This window comes from Homo sapiens, chromosome 3 (genome assembly GCF_000001405.40).
Source record: "Homo sapiens chromosome 3, GRCh38.p14 Primary Assembly".
NCBI lineage: Eukaryota > Metazoa > Chordata > Mammalia > Primates > Hominidae > Homo > Homo sapiens.
Genome location: NC_000003.12, coordinates 24,300,763 through 24,322,631, shown reverse-complemented (window position 1 = coordinate 24,322,631; position 21,869 = coordinate 24,300,763). Strand labels below are relative to the sequence as shown.

The 21,869-nt window shown below is 38.1% G+C and overlaps 1 protein-coding gene across 53 annotated transcripts in view; it reads left to right on the top strand.

Moving 5' to 3' along the window:
• The window catches only part of THRB (thyroid hormone receptor beta), a 378,556-nt gene that overhangs the window by 173,077 nt on the left and 183,610 nt on the right, over positions 1–21,869 (top strand). For 21 of the 53 annotated variants that reach the window (XM_047448810.1, XM_047448803.1, XM_047448796.1 and 18 more), the window contains one exon: positions 4,138–4,274. The exons of 30 other annotated variants lie outside the window; for them this stretch is intronic. The gene's annotated coding sequence lies outside the window, so the exon portion shown is untranslated. Of the gene's footprint in view, positions 1–4,137; positions 4,275–16,174; positions 16,430–17,987; positions 18,022–21,869 lie in introns of all 53 variants that reach the window. 2 more of the 53 variants (XM_047448814.1, XM_047448815.1) reach the window with 2 other exon arrangements.

Genomic DNA, 21,869 nt, shown 5'->3' with positions numbered 1-21,869 from the left:
TCAGTTCAGAAAGGAAATGCTGAAGAGAGATTGTGATGCCCCAAGATGTGCAGACCCAGAGATGAAAGCTTCTGTCCAGGCAAAGAAAGGAGTTTCAGGAGTTCCTCTAAAAGACTTAGACATTTTAATTATCCTAGTGAGGGGCCATCAGACAGAGATGGGAGGTGGGCCTGGCCCAAAGCAAATACAATAAACTCTTTGTTATTTGGTGGATATAGATTATATTAACCAAAGAAAATGATACTTAAATCATTTACCTACTTTTCCCAGGAACTTTAAAACCGTTACTGTTTTCTACCTTCATTTGAATCTATGGAAACTGTAGTTTTAATTTGAAAGAATAGAACAGTTTAAGCTTCTACTACTGGTTTATTTTCCTGGCTAAGTGATTAAGGGGACAAAGTGAAGTGTATACCTGTATAATTGTTTCTCTCCAAATCAATATTTTGTAAAAATTCATTTTTTTCTCAAAATTTATCTTGTTTCTTACATTATAAATATGCCTTAAAATATATTCATAATTCTAATTTCTCTTGGACTTCAGAGATTATCTTATTTTTCTTGGCCTTATACTATAACCCAGTACTGTCCACTAAATATATAAAGTAAGCCACAAATCCAACTCACATCTGTAATTTTAAATTTCCTAGTAACCACATTAAAAAAAAAGGTGAAATTTATTTTAATACTGCATTTTCTAACTCAATATGTAAAATAGTATTCCAACAAGTAACCAGCAGAAAAATATTAATGAGATATTCTACATTCTATTTTTCATGGTGTCTTCAAAATCTAGTGTGTATCTTATACTTATAGCACATCTCATTTGAACTAGGCAAGTATGAAGTGCCTAGCAGCTATGTGTGGTTAGTGACTAGTGGCTACAGTGTTGAACATCACAGCATAGATTCTAGGACAATCATTCCTAACATTTTGGATTCACGGTTCTTTAGGGGAACCTTATGAAAACTGTGGACCTTCCTCCCAGAAAAAAAAAAATTATATTAGCATACAATCCCCCATAAATTTTCAAGGAATTTATGAAACCTTAGAAGCCCGTCTTAGACCCTCCTGAGGTAAAAATCATCCCAAACTGCCATAATTTCATCCCCAGTCTCACATTTTTTTATAGTTGACCTTTTGGATTTACATAAATTATTTTAAAAGGAATCTATGTTATTTCTATAAATGAAAAATGTATCATTTATTAAAAGCAAAAGATAACTGTAAAAAAAATTAGTACTATTCTTTCAAAAATTCATAAACCTACCCCCTAAACTTATCTTTCATATCACTCTTCGGGATACACTGCCTAGGGATGTGGAAACCAGATGAAGAGACCCTGCTTTTGGGCCTCCTCTGAATGGATGCAGGAATGAAGTGGAGTCTGCAGGGATGTGCTATTAGGTCATTATAGTAACACAACTGGTTATGTTATTTAAGCCTACACATTGAGATGGAGACTGGGGGTGTAAAACTGGGCAAAGTCACTCACTTTGATAAGGTTCATGGACTTTAGAATAAATAATTCTAAAGAAATACTTTTCTTCTGCTGATTTTTCTTCCCTGGCTCTGTTTGCCAGAAGATACACCTGAAACTCTGTCCTCTTGGGGGAAAGGGTTGGTAAGAGAAAGAGACCTGGGTAGTGGCTTAGATGAGCTCTGCTCCAGGCCTTAAAGAGATGGCTCTTTCTGTCATCTTCTTTGCTAGCTTCCTCCTTTCACAGTCTAATTGGTGAGACCCAATGGACAGAGGAGAAAGGAAATAAGTGCCTGGCTGCTTGACCTTCCTGCCACATAGGCCTCAAGTCCAAGATTGCAAATGCAAATGCCAGCAAGGGTTGGGTGGGTAAGTTCAATGAGTCACTTCTTGAGGGACTGGAAATTTGGACCTTTGAGCAAAGTCCTCCCCCTTTTTTTGTCAAATGTTGACTAATTTGTTATTAATATTATGTTTAACATTAGATATTTACACTTGATATTTAATACTAGAAACACCAACCAGAAGACTGACTGTAGATTCTAATTCAGGGTGGATTAGGCCATCAGGATGCCAATTAAATCTTCTGCCAAAACATCAGTGCTGGTTCTCAACTCAGAAACATGTTCATACATTTTGTTGGTGTCACAGTGATGGGAGGGCTGGGATGCTACTGGCCTTTAGGACATTCAGAACAAGGACAGTCCTGCACCCAAACATTTGTCCTGCCCTGAATGCCATAATGTCCTTGTTGAGAAACACTGAAAGAGTAAAAGAAATTCTGCAGCTCCTCACGTGATAATCCGGTTCAACTCTTATTAGGAGCCAAAACCCTGTTTGGTAAAGAGCAGACAATACATTTTTCTGGAGCATCTCTTTCCTTTCGATTGGACAGGCATAGCAGACACAGCAGGCTTCAAGTATTTGAGATTTCTGATCATCTTAGGGTAATCTCACATTTCTGCAAAGTTTTTCTTTATTTTCTCTCTTCTGGTTTTAGTATGCTTACACTCTTCGGAGGGTTTTAGCATTATTCTTTTATGAAGTGACTTTCAAAAAGTGGCACCCGAAGCAATGACTTGACTGAAAGTATATGACTGAGAAGGGCCTCTGTTGCTAGACTCCCATAATAGAGAGCGTAGCTGGGATGTCCACTCATCCCCAAAAGGGAGTCATGCTACAGGTGTGACCTCCAGAGCAGTGGATGTCTTTGCCCTCGGTTGTTTGAATACACTGAGTTTGCCATAATGCTGTGTTCCGCAACCATGCCAGTTCCACTGGAACATGTGTCAGCTTTTATTCGGTGCTGATCTTTTTCCCTGAACAAGCAAGGGTGTATATGACCCATTCTCTGAATTTTATATGAGTGATGGGGTGTTTTGTCCCTTCTACTCGTCTAGGGGATCTGTCCATTGAGTTTATGAAGAAAAACTTTTTAGTGTGCTATAACATGCACATGCTAAAGCATATAAAGCTCCATTTTTTTATGTAGTTGTATACCCATGTAACTACCACTTGGAAGAACATACAAAACATTTCCAGCAACACTGAAGTTTGCCCATGCCCCTCTCTGTCACTGCCTGCCCCATACCAGGATTACCACTTTTCTGAATTTCATCACCGTTGATAAATGTTTTTATCTGTTCTTGAACTTCTTTTACATATTACATAATACATATTCTTTTGTATTTGACATTTTTTGCTCAACATAACATTTGTAAGATTCATACCTGTTGTTACATATGTCAGTATTTTATTCTTTTTTATTGCAGAGTAGTATTGAGTACATGGATATACCACAGTATGTTTATTCATTTTCTTGTGTAACAGAAAACTGGATTGTTTCCAGTTTGGGACTGTCTTTTGGTGGACATATCCATTTCTCTTGGATATAAACCTAGGGGAAGATTTGCTAGGCTATAGGGTAGATATATGTTTAACTTTATTAAAAACTTTCAAACAGCTTTGCAAAGTGGTTATAGAAATTTACAGTGCCCCCAACAGTGTAAGAGAGTTCAGTTGCTCCATATCTTCTACAATACTTGATAATGTTAGTCTTTTTAAATTTTAGTCATTATAATGGGTATGTAATAGTCTCTCATTGTGGCTTTAATATGCCTACTCCTTTGCATTTTCACCTAAAATGGGTGAGTCATAAACGTTGAATGTCATGTAGAAGTTTTTAAATTCTTGGTTCAGGCTACTGCATGTGCAATGGTTTTTGAGGAATTCCTAACCCTTTTAAGGAATCCTAACTATTTCTCTTTCTAGAGAGAAGTGATGTGTAATTGTACAATCATCTCAGCCTAGTCAGATGTGAAAATTCCTCACCCACATCCCTAGTGTGGTATCCCCATGGCATGGCCTTGATAAACAATGCACAGGGGAGGACCCAACATTGCTACCATAGGCATTTGGCAATGAATTTGCCTCTCCATACACAGGGAATCCTGTCTGTTCAATAATATCCAGTGAGCATTTATTGGGCACATACTTTGTTCCAGGCACTGTGCTGGGCATTGAGAAAGCAACAGGGAAATAGACACAGTCCCCCTCTTTTTTGAAAGACTCACTGTCTAGTGAGGGAGTGAGAAAGTGAACATACTAATTGTCATGCAATGTGATAAATGCTTTGCAAAATGTGTATGTATTTTCAGGGGGCTTGGAGGCTCATAGCAAAGGTCCTTGAAGAGAGCAAGAAAAAGTCTTCCCAGGAAAAGTGGACACCTGAGTGAGTGTTACAACGAGAAGGGGGGCATCCCAGGCAAGGCAGCTACCAAGCACAGGTGTGAAGGTGAGCTTCTGCGCAGGTTTCTCGAAGGTTGTTGGCACAGCTGGAGCATAAGGCACATGCAGGAGGCACTTGCAAAAGATACAGCCAGGATGTGTACAGGGCTGATCATGAAGGATGTACTTAAGTGAAATATATTTTGCAGAATTTCAACCCAGAGACTCTCCCTTTTGATTTACCTGCAAACAAAAAGAATCATACTTCCCTTTGACTGTCTCTGAACTCTGAATTTTCGCTTCTACTCACTTTTTGAAGCCAAATTGCATGAAATTAGGCCCCTTCCTTCCTTCCTTCCTTTCTTTTCATTCGTTCATTCTTTTTTGAGACAAGGTAGAGTACAGTGGTGCCATCATAGCTCACTGCAGACCCGACTTCCTGAGGGTCAGGTGATCCTCCCGACTCAGTCTCCCAGGTAGCTGGGACTCCAGTCACACACCACCATACCTGGCTAATTTTTTGCATTTTTAGTAGAGATGAGGTTTTGCCATGTTTCCCAGGCTATTCTTGAACTCCTGGGCTTAAGCAATCTGCCCACCTTGGACTCTCAAAATGCTGGGATTACAGGCATGAGCCACTGAACCTGGCTGAAGTTAGACTTCTTTCCATCTCTTTTTGTGAATATAGACATATTTTCTATTTAACAGTTTAGAACCAATGTGAATTTTCCCATATATGGTAGTCTAAGAATTGAATTGTAGTTTCTTAACTAGGTTTTTGTTTTGTTTTGTTGTGTTGTGTTGTGTTTTGTATGCCTTCCAGACCCAACACCCTAGCCAGTGCAATGGCTCTGAGTGTGGCATAAGCCCACTTTTAGTTTTCTTATGGGATTGAGTAATGTTCTTGGTGTTAGCATCTCTCTTTTTATTGGAGGAGTAAGGCAGACACTTACATTTCTAATAAAAGATCTGCTCGTTGAAATCAAGCGAGTCCTGATGGTGTTGGGAACCTTCTGCCGTGAGCACAACAGAGGCAGCCATGGGGTATCAGAATTACCTCCATTATATTTAACAAACACTCAGGTAGCATGCACCTCTTTCGATTTTCCATGCAGTATTCCATCTATGTAGCAACTTGTTTACTTCTCACAAGCACCCTAGAGTTGGAAAGTTTCCACATATGGGGAAACTGAGGCACCAAGATATTAAATAACCTGCTCAAGTCACAGGTGGAATTTGAACCCACAAACTCATACTTACAGACCCCATACTATGCGGCTTCTTTTTACTTATAAAATATACAGGATAAACTCAAAGGAACAAAGTTCATTCAGCAAACCTTTGTTGAGCAACTGCCTGGTGGGTGAGTCAGTGACACCTTTGCCCCAGAAACTCTTAACCGATTTGGGGAGACAGATAGTAATAAATGTTTGTAATGCAATGTTAACCTGAGGAGGAAAGTCACTAACTTTGCCTGAGGAAGTTAGGGAAGGGCTTCTGCCTGAAATACGGGCTCAGCCTTTCACGAAAAGGAGTGAACAGACAGGGCAGTTCTGAGTTGTGATAAGGCATAGCTTGTTTGGGAGGTGTCAAGTGTTCTGGGGGGTGGAGGATGTTTTAAGGTGTGCTGTGGAGACTGAAGTTAGGAATAGGACTGGTGGAAGGTGGTACTTGGGGCTGGGAGCGGGGGTCTTGTATGTGAAGCTGAGAAGTAGGACTTTAGCTTGTACCTGGTGGGAAGTAATTGAGGGTTGTTAAGTAGAGGAGAGACTTGATAAACCACCCTCTGGAGAGATCTGGTTTGGATAACATTGCAATAATTCAAGAGAGGATGAAAATTTGCAGTGTAGGTTGTGTAGACTCTAGGGGCATCAGGTGAGTTGACAATTAAATGTAGAGTCTGAACTGTAGCATGTGGTGGGGGAGGAGGAACAAGGGTGAGAGCAAGAGGGCGAGAAGGAAGAAAAAAGGGGGAGAGGGTGAGCACAATGTCTTCTGAAAGGAAAAAAGGAAGGAAGGAACCGAGGGAGAAGGGAAAAGAGAAAAAAGGAAGGAAAGGATGGAAAGAGGAGAGAAAAGAATATACCAGTATATTTAAAAAATATATTATGATGAAATGTTACTGGCATGATAGTCCTATGATTCAGGCTTTTAGAAGTATGTGCTCAGCCAAATTTTGTTTTGGTGGTTGACCAGCAGTTATTTTCATGACTCTGTAGTAGCCCATTGAGATTGCTTCTATCTAAAGACACTTTGTCAGGTTTATGTAAGACTTCATTTAGGGGGCATTGCCTTGGCATGCAGACAGCTTCCAGGCCTTACACACCAGCAGAAACATGTTCTCTAAAGAGTGCAATAAAGCATTTTCAATTCATAGCTGGGCACCTCAGGAGCAAACAAGAGCTGTCACATGGAGCACTTTCAAAATAATGCTTTTCTAACAAAAAAGAAAAAAAACAGAAACATACGGAGATATTTGAAATTCATCCTCACAATTGTCAAGCCTGAATCATAATGGCTTTGAACCCAAGGAAACTTTAAACATATGAGGATCATAAAACCTTACTTTAAGCCAAATTATCGCTGCTCTCTGTGCCAGTTATAAGCAGCATAATTAGTGGAGTGAACTACTTCTCCCTGCAATTATTATTATCAGGCTGGTGTAAGTATATGGGAGTTGAGAGGAGAGTAAAGTTCTAATCGTAACAGGGTATGTAGATGTGGATAAGGTAGCATGTCAGGTGTTAGCTGTCCAGGCAGCCTCCCAGTGCCATAGGAGTCTCATTTCACTAGGGGTTTAGGTTACCACAAGCTTTGCTCATCTTCCTGCTGCAATACTGGCTCCTATAGAAGGCCGGGAGGCACAGTGCAGAATCCTGAGCCAGAGAGAGCAGCCTGGAGTAGTGAGCTGTTTGCCTGGGTGCGTTATGTGGCAAAATCCACACAGCCATGACGCCAGCCAAGCGTCAGTCACCACAGGCATCTAAGGTGCATTTCAAGAACATATAATTGGGATAGCTTAGCCACGTAAGTGCAGGACGTGGCTTTGGGTCCCAGGTGGTTTATTTGTTTAGAATGCCTTCATTCTATCTGACTTGGAAGTAGAGAATGAGAAGCTCATGCTGAGGATGTAGCGATGTCGGCAGGTCCTAAAAGCCCAGAGGACAGCAGGGTAAGTGTCAAACCACCCCCGTGATGCTCTGTGTGTGAACACTGAAGGAGATTGTGTTGCAATTAATGTGTGGGTCAAGACGTGTCCATCAGGGCATGGGCTTCCAATGGACAACTTCTCTTAAAATTCTAATGTATCCTTCCTAAGGGTGGGATTACAGAAACGTACTTGTCCAGTAATTCTCATGTGTCCTGAATTGGAATTAAAAGACAAAGAAAATATAATTCCTAAATTTCAAGCTTTTCCGTCGGGGGCAGGGAGAGGAAGGAGGGTAATACATCGATATAGATTATAATCCTGTGTTTTTTAAACTTCAAAAATGTTAAGGAGAATTGTAAAAGGAAATTAAATTACCTTCCTATTCTGAAATAAGACCCTGCAGGAATATATGAATAAAAAATGTGTAATCCATTCCTAGTGCCATCCTTTGAGAGACATTTAGTTTCCTCGAGTACCATACTTGAGGGGACACCTGGAATATGTTCCAAAGAATGGCTCTGTAGAGGCTGAAGGTTTGGGGTGTTCCATGTTACAAAGAAAGGCTGAAAGAATTGGGAATGTGCGATCTGGAGAAGAAAAGACTGCAGGAGTGATTACAGCTATTTTTAAGCATGAGAAGGACTGAAGCACAGAGCAAGGAAGACACTTGTCCTGTATTTCCCTCAGGAAAAGAGTTTTATCCTTTGGGAAAGAGGGATAACAGATCCCTTTGGCAGTTTGATGTTATTTAAAAAAAAGACCTCTCCTCAGAAAATACATTTATTATAAATGCAAAATTGCCACATAATAGCAGGGATCTCACAGGACCCTGTAAAATACATTTAAAGATCTCTTGTTTTAGATGGTAGGACCAACAGTGAATAAAAATTTCAGGATTTGGCTTGATTTAAGGAAGAATTTACAAATAGTTTGGTTATTGCTGCAATGGAACTAGGCTTTTCCTAAGGTGATTCCCTTCCTCATCCCTACAGTCTGAATGAATAATTGTGTAGAAAAAATACCTTGAGCTTTAGATTCACCAGGACCTGGATTTGGATGCAGACCTGCTTCTTCTAGCTGTGTGTCTTCAGACAAATCATTAAACCCTGCCAAATATCTGTGAAATGGAGATAAAAATCTATCATTAGGTGATTGGGCTAGTTAAATGACAGCAGGTGTATAAAACGCCTATCTCAGTACTACAGTAGATTATGAACAAAAATATACTTTTCTTAGTACTTCTCAAAGGTCATGAATCGAAAAGAAGAACAAGAAAAAGCCTAATTCCTGCCTCTGCATAAGTTCTTCATGATTATGTTCCCTTTTTACTGTTAAGAATATTATAGACAGCATTCTAGCTTTGTGTGGGAAGCTACAATAAATGTCTAATTCCAAATTTGCATCAGATTTATATTTCTGAAAAACTTTAAAAATGAACTGAAAGGTGATATTATGGTATCTTAAAGTTGTTTTTTTTTTTAAAAAAAGCCTTTGAACCAAACTGTGAATGAACAGTGTAGAAAAGGAAATGTACTTGAAATATTTCAAAGTGTTTTCAGTGAGGAGAAACTTATCCTCAATTTCTATTTAGTACAAGAGGAAATGAGGTTGCATTTTAAGGTAATACTTAATAATGGGGAAGAAAAGTAACTATATATCAAGTGAAAAGGGATAACACTAAATAACAATAGAGCATATAATAGACATTAAATGCCTTTCTTTAAGAAGTAGAGAGAAACATATTTTTCAATGGCTTTTGGTAATGGGCTTTTTAAAATGTTCAATTGAGATATGAACTGGAGGATGTGAACATTTAGTCCCGTGGGTGGCAGGATATTCTTAGCAGCTTCAAGGATGTTTGCTGCATGGGAATTGTCTTTAATTCCCCAAGCAGCAAATTTGATGGAGCACTACATCCAAGGCATTTCTGGATGTGAAAGGGGTCCCTCACCTTCAAGGAATGTGCGCCAGGTTGAGGAGTTCAGCACATACTCCTGAAAAGATGAGTGGTGCAGACAATGATTTCCCGAGTGGTTGAGAGGAAAGAGAGAAGGTTGGAGACTGGACCTGATGACAGCTTTCATGGAGGAAGTGAGGACTGAGCTGAGCCTTGAAAATTGGGAGTTGCTGTCTTCCCATCTCAGTAAATGGCGGCACCATTCACCCAGGTATTTAATCCCAAAACCTAGAAATCATACTTGCTTCCTCTTTCCCTCACCCCCAAATCCAAACTCTCAGCAACTCCTACCTATTCTGCCTCCAAAATAGATCCTGAGTCTGCACACTCCCACCATCTCCATTTCTGTCCTGCTGGGTCAAGCCACCATCCTCCCTTTGAAATGTTTCAATGATCTATTAACTGGTCTTTCTCTTTGGTCTTTTGGATCATCCTCCAACCCATTTTCCACAAAGAAGCCAGAGTGATGAAGTCACCACTGTGATTTAAACTCTTTAAAGGTTTTCCATTAGACTAAAAATAAAATATTCGCTCTTCCACATGGCCTACCAGGCCCTGTGTGATGTGGCCCAGACTCACAGATCTCACCCCCTCTTCTTCTCCCCCTCACTCACCATGGCTGAGCCACGCTGGCTTCCTATGATTCTTTGATCTAGGTAGATGTACAATAGAGAAAAAAAGAATGTGAAAATTATTGAAGGATATAGAAGGAGATCAGTTCTCAAAATTAGCAGGAGAGCTCGGTTTTATGTAATGATTCTGCCACACAAATGTGGGCGTATACGTAGGAAGCATGGTTTGATTTCAAGGACCTCTGGGAAGGAACCTTTTGTATCTCAAAACTTAGCTCTTTCACCAGCTTCATTAAATTATTTTCCAGGACAATATACTTCATAAATTCCCACCTATGAGGAAGTACAGTTAGTATTTACTCTGTGCCAGGTACAGTGCTAGGTACAAGAGCTATGATGATGAAAAAAATAAAAAGAAAATAGACATGAGGACTTTACTTTCTTGCTGCTTTTCAGACTACTGGGGACCCAGACAATTACCACAGAAGATAATTACAATGAGGAGTTTTACAAGGTGCCGTGAGAACACCCCCCACATGGGTGGGGCACCTAACTCTGACTTGAGAGGTCAGGAAAACTTCCCAAAGGAAGGACATTTAACTGAGAATTGAAATAGTGGGAAGTAGGGCAGAAGGCAAGGGCAAGCATTCAAGTTTTCTTGGCAGGGGAAACAGCACATGCAAAAACACAGTGTTAAGGAAAAACATGACACTTTCATGGAACCCAGAAAAGTTCAGGATGGTTGCAACACAGTGGCAAGATGGAGGAAGTGGAGAGAAGAGGAGCAAGGTATGAGAAGTAATTGGTGGCCTGTGCGTACAAAGCCTTATAAGCCATTGCAAGGTCTTTGGACCTACTACTAGTAAATGAGAGGTTTTAAGCAGTGAGATTACATACGTGTTGTAGACAGCTCAGTCTGGATAGAGTATGAAGAGGGGCTAAAATTGGCAGGCCATTTGCAAGGCTGTTCTATAATCCAGGTGAGAAATAATGTTGGTATGAACCAACATTGAAAGAGCAAGGATGAAGAGTCCAGAAGAGAGATTTAAAAGGGGGAATTCACAACATTTGGAGATTAACTGGATGACATAGGGGTGGAAATGAAAAGAACAATAAGAATGATTCCTAAGTTTCCACCTCCCAGGGGACCATTTGCTAAGATACGGACTCAGGTGTAAAAAAGGGGCTTAGGGAAAGATAGGGAGATGTCACATCTGCTAGTGAAATGCCTTTCTTTTTTCTAATCTAAGATCAGGTTTTCTTTGTAGCATGGGCTCTGGAAATTCTGAAAATAGATGGTTGGAAGAGTCTATGAAAGATGGAGAGGAGAGACGAGAGGGCATCATAGAGAACCATTGAAGCCCTCCTAATTTTGCTTAAGCCCTGGCCAAGATGTCAAGCAAGTTCTTCTTTCATTAATACACAGTATTTAAAAGAAATATTGCATCTTCTAGTTAACTGCAAAGCCTTTCCAACTCCATTTTTCTGTCCTGCTTGGGATTTACATTTTCCTCAGTCAGAATTCTATCTACTTTGGACAAAGTAATTGTGGCCCCTTGAGGAATAAAAGTGTTTCCTCATTCCAGCTGGCTTCCCATCCCTCTTCAGCCATACACAGATCCTCATTTACATTTTGGGTGAGTAAGTGTCTAGGCTGTGTGGTGTTTTATAAGCTTAATGGACTTGTGAATGTGGGAGAGACAGACACAGAGAAAGATGACCATAGATATCTGCTTGAGACACCACCCAATTAATGTCTGTGACATCATCCCACTTTAGTTGAAGGCTTCTGAAATAAGTAGCTCTTGTTTTACCTATTACTTAAACTCTTGTTAAACAATGTCCTGCCATGAGAAAGAGAGTTCCTTTTCGGGCAGGATTTTTGAACAGCAGCACTATTGACATTTTGGACCAGATAATTATTTGTGGTGGGGAATGTCCTGTGCATTGTAGGGTATTTAACAGCATCTCTGGCCTCTACCCACTAGATGCCAATAGAGAAACCCCATACCCAATGGTGACAATCACCATGTTTGCAGACATTGCCAAATGTCTACTGAGAGATGAAATTTCCCCTAGTTGAGAATCGTTGCTTTAGAGCAGTGAGTCCCAAAATGTGGTGCTCAAATCAGGAGCATCAGCATCACCTAAAAACTTGTTAGAACTGCAAATTCTATGACCCCAACCCGGACCTACTGAGAAAGAAGCTCTAGGGATGGGGCCCAGCAATCTATGTTTAAGGAACCCTCTAGATTATTCTGATGCACACTGAAGTTTGAGAATCACTGCTGTAGAGCAAATGAGTGGTCACTGAAGTTCTGGAAGAAGTAGTTGTTTATGTAAAGAAAGATTTTGAATTAAAGGGAAGTCTTCTCTCTTCTGTTTTCCTTTCCTTTTTAAGAAATGAAATCAAAGTACATCATTTTATTTTTAAAAAGCAAAGGTTATTGGTAAATCGTTTCCTATCATGGGAAATTCTTATAGATAGAAAACAATATATAAGTCACATGAAAAGTTCATTATTCTGAACAGAATTCCTTTTTCCCAAGTTCACAAAGATTAAACAGTAAGTAGTAGCATGATTGAATATCACATTGACAAAGAGAGATTTTAAATAAGCACACAGAGAAACATTTTGCAAGTAGAATTGAATTGTGACATGGAGCTTCCAATGTGATATATGGCTCCCATTTAGGGTAGCAAGCCCACTCGCCTGCCCCCGTACTCAGTAGCTTTGGGGAAGCAAAGCCAGATGTCTGCGCAAAACAATCCTTTTCTCTATGTTCTTCCTTAACTTTCTTTTCCACTTGTTTGTTCACTTACCCCTTTTCTACCCAACACAGCACTGAATAGGGGAATGGAGTTTTTTAATTTATTTAATCAGTGGTATACATCCTACGTATTTTACAAGTTTATATCAAAGTTCTATTTTTCAAGTGTATTTTCAAATTCTGTGCATTGCTGAACAATTTAGTAATGTCAGTGTCTTCCTTGAAATGCTTAATGGATCCCTGAACATTAAATTAGATTCCAAAAATACTTTTATCAAAAAAGGAAATGATGCTCCAACTTAAATAATTATTTTTAGTTAAAAGCATAACAAAATAAGGAAGATGAACTTAGTAAGACATTATTAATTATTCATTTTTATGTATTGATTTGTTCAAAAGATATTTACTGAATATCAACTGTGTACCAGAAATAAGACAAATACAGTAGAATTTTATTACCTCATGGAGCTTACATTTTTTCTGTAGGCTGAAGGGAAGGAGTGGGGAGAACAGACAGAAAACAACTCAATAGTTCAAATTTTGGATTGCACCCTGTTAGTGGGTTATGAGATCAAGTTAATGGGATACAAACAGCTTTTGTGATTGTTCCTTTAATTAGCAAACTCAAAGAGAGTAAAGAAACAAAACTTTATTCCGCTAACACTTCTTAAGCGTGTTGTTTTGTCAAACTATTGTTGCAGTTATGTGTGTGTGTGTGCATGAATCAATGTAAAACATTTCTGATTATCAACTTATAAAGTTTGAAAAATATTGGAATTTTAAATCATAATACATATACAAAAAGGCCAAGGAGGTAAGGTAGAAAATAACAAAAATGTGAAGTACAAGGAGGTAGAACCCACTTTCGCTGTGTGGTCAGAGATGGCCTCTCTGATGAAGCAGTATTCCAGCTAGACCTGGCCAAAAAACGGGAGCCAGAGGAAAGGGTAGGGAAGAGCTTTCCAGACAAAGGGAGCACCAAGGGCAGAGGTTCTGTTTGGGGCCTGAGTAGCATGGGTATGGCAGTTTAAATGGCAAAGAAAATAAACAGTTTACTTCTTTCCTTCCCAGGAAGAAAGATTCTAGAACTTTTGGTTGATAGAGGCACAAAAACAAAAGGGGAACATGCACCTATTCCATAAATGAAGAAGAGTTTCACTTCAAAGACCTAGAAAATTTCCAATTCAAATAATTATAGAAAGAAAACATATTCAATTAAAATTGAGCAAATATTCATTGAGTTTATACCATGGGCAAAGTGTTAACTATGGTGTATTTAAAGAAGAACACAAATTTGAAAATGTAAGTATAGAGTTCTAAGTACACATCTACACAAAAGACCAAAGATTGCAATCTACCTCTTAATAAAACAATTTTCCATTCTCCCGTTTAACAAGGCAGTTTTTCACATGCCTCAAATTTACTTTTCTCTATTTGTTTTTATAACAAAGATTTCATTCATTCCAGAATGATTTCTGCCTATTTAGCTACCTACTCTACTTTATATTTCAAAACAGAGGGATGTTCTGTATCCACCAGTGATTTTACATAGTAGGACCTCAAACAAGGCTTGGCAAAGACACTTAAAACCTTCGTAACACCCTAACCTTGTATTGTTAAGCCTCCCTAATTCTTTCATAGAATTCCAAATTTTAAAGCCTGCACTTTGGTAGTAGTTATGCCTGTTTCTAACCATTATTGTTATTGATAATATCATTATTTTAATACACTCTATCTCCCTTAGTAAGTTCAACTGCCTAGAGCTTCTTTTGTTTTAATTTTTATTTTTTTCTTTTCCTCCAACTTTTATTTTAAGTTCCAGGCTACATGTACAGGATGTGCAGGTTTGTACATAGGTAAACATGTGCCATGGTGGTTCTTATTTTATAGTCCTACCTAATATCCCTTCCCCAACCTTTCTGACAACTTACAGCCTGCCCTTCTTCAAAACTCAACCTCTCACTTTCTTTGCCGGATGGGCAAAATTCACAGAGGCTGCAGCGATGGCAACAAAAGCTATTTCAGTGGTTGCCCATATAGACTCATAGTCTTAACTTGACCACAGTGAACTATGGAAACAGGCCATTAGCTAATGGCCTGAAACTCCTGGAGGCAACCTTTTATACTTCAGCTCAAGGCAACTGGAACCTGGCAGAAATCTTTGAGTATGGACAGAGCAAAGTCACAGGGAAATTCTTGAAGGACCCTTTAAGCAAATGGTTTGGAACAGCAATTTGCAGTCATATCAATAGTATACTAACTATTCATATTCTTTCCAGCAGTAATTTTGGGATCTTCTGGAACACTTCTGAAAATATTTCCTAAAAAAAACCATCCAGAATTCAGAAATAAATTTTGGCACAGAAAGTTATTTGTGGCATTATTTGTATTTGGAAATCAGCCAAATATCTTTCAATAGGAGAATGTTAAATATTTAATGTTATATCTACATGGTGAACTATATAAAGTCATTGAAAGTGCTGTTTATGAAGAGGTTATAGCGTGGGAAAATGGTTCGGTTATGATGTTAGGTGGAAAAAAATAAGAAGGGAATTTATTTAGAATTTCAACTATATAAAAAACAGATGCATAAAAAACTAAAGGAAATAAGAATTGAGAGATCTGAATAGTTGCATTACTAGTGATTTTTTAATACTTTTCTGTAGTTTAAATTTTTTCTCCAAAGAGCATGTGTTCCTTTTATGTTCTAAACAAATAAACTTTAGCTCAGACTTTACCATGTTATTTCTCTTCAGTAAATTTAAAACTAATTCATGGTTTCAGATAGTGTTCAGCATACACATGGCACTGTGTAGGATATCAAAATTTGCTTGCCAACATCAGTGAGTATATACTTGTTTAGTTTAATTAAAAATTATTGCCAAGTAAGAAAGTAACATTAATATTTTATTATAATTTATTATTATATTTATAAAAACAGCCAAGAACTCTCATATGATTCATTTTTTTATTTTGAGAAAAAAAGAATGATCTGTAATTGTGGTTTGCTTTTAAAATATGACTTTTTTTAGAACCAGATATGATAGACTAATTAATTGGCTCCTAATAAATAGTGTGCCTACCTAAGTGATTATTAAACTCTATCAGTTAATTGTAGGAAAGTAAAGAGACAACTGTTTACATCCAGATAGATTTTAGCTCTCTTGAGAAGTTTCATCAAACTCCAACCGTACGTGGTTACAGGGTTGTGTATCACATTCTGCAAGGTACAGTAATGTGCCAATTCAAAGACTTTGAGCAATGGGCTGGAGGCAGAGGGTGTAAGCCTAACACTTTGTTTCTTGACCCAGTAGCCAAAGTATGCTATGCCTTAGAAAAAAAAAACCTGAGATCAGCTGTTCTGATCACCTTGCAAATTTTGTGATGCAGCCACCACCATTCCTAGAGTCGATTTTAGCCAGATACATGCAGGAAAATACAAAGAATATTTATGCTATTTTTCTTTGGGATAATTTTTCCCTTGTTCCCCAGCCCATTTATAATTCCTGCTTTCAGGGAATCTATATTTATGACAACCCAATCATCTTGGCCTGTGCACTGCATCTCACTGTGAGGAACCAGAGCCCTCTGTGGAAGGCAGCTTTATAGAGGAGACCACACTGTTGACAGATTCCTGCCTCCTCCCTGTGGGTGGTCTGAAGCAAGGAAATCTGAGCTTTCCAGCGCAGGCCTGGCATGTGCCAGGAAATTTAGATTCGGGGGAGCTGCTATCTATTACAGTTATGAACCTTCTGAAAACCAGAATTGCAGGTAACCAGTATTCCTTCTGCATGCCAAAGCAAACCCCGGGCCCTTAATCTTCAAATGACTGGACTATTAATATTAAAATGGTTTCTATTATATAGCCTGGGTAAAGATTTGTTAGTTTCTGAGGTAAAGCAACAACAACAACAACAAAAATTGAAGGACTTTTACTTTGAAACATGTCTAAATTAGCAAGAGGAGGAAGTATGTTTGTTATCTATTGGAAGAAACACTTTTAGAAGCCCATTGGGGGAGGAGATAGACTCAGATTTCTTGGGAGTCAGCCCAGTCTTGGAAAAAAAGTTCTAAGAAGTTTAGTAGGAGATGCCAAGGCACGATTAGAGGAAGGTAAACCTGATTTTGAATGCTGCATAGAACTAGGTATTCTTGGTAAAGTTCCTGAAATTTTCTGAACCTTTCTGTCCTCATCTAAAAAACTGAGCTAATAATAATACTTTTTGTGGTAGATACAGAGGGAAATGAGATAAGAATGGATGTGAAATGCCTGAAATTTGTGGTGTGAAGCTCACATAACTCTTTACCTCATTATTAAAATATATTAAAATGCTTCCAACCCATTATAACCAGTTTGCTTTTACAATGAAAATATAATTTTTCTCATTTGGTAATGAGAATGCAGTATGCAAATGGCCATGTCTAAATTAGTTTTGGATCAATTACCACTTATGATTTCTACCACTATATAAGCAGCTGCTAACATTAATACTGTAATTGTAATCCCCCTTGACCTTACCCTACACATGCAACTTCTATTGCTAGAGGAAGTCCCAACCCTAGGGTGTTGGTGCTACATCCACCACCCCTACCCAACCTGTAGCCTTTTGTATATAAAATGTAGGCCAGCTACCTCTACAGCAATGGTTTTCACACTTTAGCATGCACTTGAATCATCTTAGAGTCCTGGATGCCCAACCCCAGAGTTTCTGATTCAGTAGGTCTCAGGGGAGGACAGATAATCTGCCTTTCTAACAAGGTCCCATATGATGCTGATGCTGATGTTGCTGATCCAGGAAACATACTGTGAGAACCACTGATCTATATAATTCATAAAATAAACTCAGGAGGTTTTCGTCTTTTTCAATGGGCTAGACTAGTTTAAATAGCATTGGAATTATCTGTTCTTTAAGAGTTAAATGGAACCCAGCTGTGAAATTATGTAATCCTGATACTTCTTCCCCCCATTTAAATGATAGACTTTTAATCACCATTTCTGTCTCTTCTTATTACATTTTAGTGCTTCCTCTTGGGTCAGTTAATTTCTGTTTTGCTAAGAAATCATCCATTTTTTCTAGGTTTCACATCTATTACAATGGGGCTAGTTCTAGTACTTTCTTAATAATCATTTTCATTTTTGTGTGCATGTTTTTCTCTATTTGCTCAATCCTAGTATTTCCCCCTCTTCTTCCTTTAATCATATTAATAAGATGGTTATATATTTTATAAAAGAACCAGCTTTTGAATGTATTTGTTCTTTCTACTATTTTTGTTTTCCACTATATTTCAGCATCTATCTTTATTAATTCCTTCTTCATACTTTATTTAGGTTTACATTTTTGTTCTTCATGAAACTTACTAAGGTTAGTACTATGTTAACGTCTTAGTTCTTCAGTAATGAAGCTATTATAGCTATAAGCCACACATTTTTCCTCTGAGTATAGCTTTAGCTGTGTTTCATAACTTTGGATGGAACATATTCTCTTTTTTATTAATACTAGATAGCTTATGATTTTAATTTTGCTTTTCTCATGAATCTTACAGCTATTATAAAGGATGTTTCTTATTTTTCAAGTAGATAAGATTTACTAGCTATTGCTTTATTTAAAATCAATTTTATTTGCTTACGATCTAAGATTATATCCTATCAAAATATCTACTTTTAAAAAAAGGTGTTCATTTTAACCTTGTGATTTATATTTTATTAATATTCCATGGACAATCAGAAATCTATTTTATTAACTCATATGATGTGAGTTCTGTGTACAAATCTATTAGATTGAGTGTGTAGAATATGTCGTTCAAATATTTATGTCCTTTCTTGTATTTGGGCTCCTTGATCACTTCCAAAAGTTTCAAAATCATTTCCCAAAGCTAATATAATCTTTATTCTAAAATCTGACCAAGAAAATACAGACTAAAAAAAAATATGAGCTAATTTCACATATACACATAAGGGCAAACTTTGGAATAAAATATTACCAAGTACATTCCAAAGCCATCTCAAAAGAAAGAATACTCTATGATCAAGAAAAATTTATTCCTGGAATTAAACATCGTTAAAAATTAGGAAATCTATCGAAATATTTGTCCAATCAATAAATTAAAGGAGGAAAAAGATTATAAAAGTACATGTAGGAAATGCATCTGTAAAATTCAGCAGCCATTTTTAAAAAACTTAGTCGGTGTATCCTTCTGTTTCACTTAAACATGATAAAGACTATCCACCAAAAACTAACAAGTAACAGAATTCTAATGGCAAAACTCTCAGGCTCCTTGTAGTAAAATTAGACGTAAGAGAATGTATCAATTATCTCTTGTCCCAGTAATGTTGCATAACTATCAAACTTCAGTGACAAGTGATAATTAACATGTGTAGCTCACAGTGGGAATCAGGGGATCTCAGCTGGGCCTGCTTGCACGTCTGTGGTCAGCTATAGATCATCTCAGCAGCTCTGCGATGATAATCGGGCATGCTCACGTGTCTGGTGTCTGGGGCTGGCTAGCTGTGGGCTGATTGAGGATGGCCTCTACTAGAACATTGGAAAAACTCCACAACATATTCTCTTCCTGCAGCAGGCTAGCCCAGGTAGCGGCCGAGAAGCAAGAGCAAGTCTAGTGTGAGAAGCACTTTTCAGGCATCATGTTTGCTGACCACCCTTTGGCCCAAACACTCACCTCACTAAGCCTAGACTCAAAATATGAGGGCACTGCAAAGATTCACAGCAAAGATTCATGGCACAGGGCCTAGACACAGGGAGGAGTCTCTGTATTTGTTTTTTCTTTGTATTTGTTTTATCAAGTGAAAAACAAATAAGGATCTCTGCTTCCATCAACATTATTCATCTTTGTTTCAGGGGTCCCTGTGATTTTAGTTGGCCAAGATGTAACTGGCATAATGAATACAACCAAATGAGAAATATTACCTTTTTTGTTGATGATGTGATTGTATACCTGTAAGAGTGGAAGGACTCCAGTAAAAAACTGGAGTGCAACAATCAGTAAGAATATTTGACAAGGCTGTTGGACTAAAAAATAAATGTAGAAAAATCAGTAAGTCTTCTTTATAGCCATTCGTTCAACAAATATTTATTAAACACTCACTGAATAATAAGCATTCATCTGGTCCCTAGTACAGTCGTGAACAAAAGAAAAAAATCATTTTCTGCATAGGGCTTATATATTAGTTGGGGGTAATGGAAAATAAATGAGTAGGTAAGCCAGATGGTGGCAAGTGCTATGGGGAAAAATACAAAGCCAGAGAAGAAGTATAGTAAATGCTTAGCCGATGGACTGGATGGCAGGCAGTGGTGTGTTGTTTTCTATGAGGTGATTAGGGAGGGCTTCACTTACAATAAGTTGGCATTTGAGCAGAAACTTGAGGTTTGTGACAAATTCTGCTGTGCAGACAACTGTGACAAGCACATTCCAGTTCAGGAAGAGTGAACAGCAAGTTCAAAGGCCTTGAGACACGGTTGTATGTGGTATACTTTATTTACAAGAATTATCAATTACAAATGGAGATGGAATTTTCACCATAACAACATAAATTTTAAAAGACTTAATAAGATACAACAAGAAATGATTATTTAGAGGACATAAAACAAAATCTATAAAAACCCAGGGAAACTATTTAAAAAACAAAACAAGAACAGAGGCTAACTTGTCTTTTACCAGGTACTTGAATGTGTAGAAGTGACTATATCAAAACAACTGGATATTGGCAAAGGAGTAAACAAATTGATCAGTACAACAGAATGGAGGGTACATCTAGAACGGTTGTTGCCCTACTTGCTAATACATTCAAAAGTAAATGATAGGTGGATAATGGTACACATTAATTTAAATTAAGCAGCAAACATGTATTGATTTGCTATTGCTGCCATAACAAATTATCACCAACCTAGCGGCTTAGCCAACACCAAGTTAGGGCCTTGCAGTCTGTAGGGAAGAAGTCTGATACAGGCTTCACAAGGGCTTAGGTTTCAGCCTGGAGCCTCTGAGGGAGAATCAACTTTCTTGCCATTCTCAGAGGTCAGCCATACTCCTTGGCTTCCTTCCTCCATCTTCAAAGTCAACAATGTTGCATCTCTCCAACCCTTCTTCCATAGTGACATCTGCCGCTCAAGGATTCAGGTGACTAGATTGGGCCTACCTGGATAATCCAGAATAATATCCCCATCTCAAAATCTGTACCCTTAATCACATCTGCAAAGTCCCTTTTGCCATGTAAGATAGCATTTTTACAGGATTCGGCAATAAAGTCATGGACTTTTTGGGGAACCATCTTTGTGCCTACCACAAACATTTTAGAGAAAATTTGGGAGAATAATTTTATACCCCAAGTGTCAGGGAAATGTTTATAATCAATACAGAGCTAATTAATAAGGGATAGATAAAAAGATAAGCATACTGTACCATGTAATTTTTTAATTGCATGACCAAACATATCATAAACAAACTAAAAAATACAGGCTAGATAGGTGTCTTACAACATGTGGCAAAGTGTTAATGTCTGCTTTGCCACAGCATTCATAAGAATCAGTAGGGAAAATGGGGAAAAGATATAAGTAGTTAACTCACAGAAAAGCACATTCAAATGATCATTAAAACCACATGAAAATACGCTCAACCTCAGAAGTTTTCAGACAAACACAAAAGTTTATGGTAACAATGAGTATATTTAGTTTCCTAGGGCTGCAGTAACAAATTACATGAGCTTGGTGGTTTAAAACAACAGGAATATATGCTCACAGTTCTGGGGAGAAGAAGTTTGAAATCAAGGTGTTGACAGGGCCACACTCCCTCTGAAGGCTCTAGGAGTGAATCCCTCCCTATCTCTTCCAGAGTCTGGTGGCTCCTGGTGTTCCTTGATTTATGAATGTGTAATTCCAGTCTCTGCCTCCATCTTTACCTGGCCCTCACCGCTTCTCCCTGTGTCTCCCCTCTGTGTGTCTCTTATAAGGACACTTGTCATTCAATTTAGGGCCAGCCAGATAAGCCAGGATAATTTCATGTAGAGATCCTTAATTATATCTGCAAAGACTCCCTTTCCAAATTAGGTCATATTCATAGTTTTGGGGGATTACCACATGGACATATGTTTTGGGGGTCCACCATTCAGTCACTACAATGAGATACCCCTCCCATCAAATTAGTAAAATTTTAACTTTTTTCATTGACATATACAAGCTTGTAATATATTCCAAAT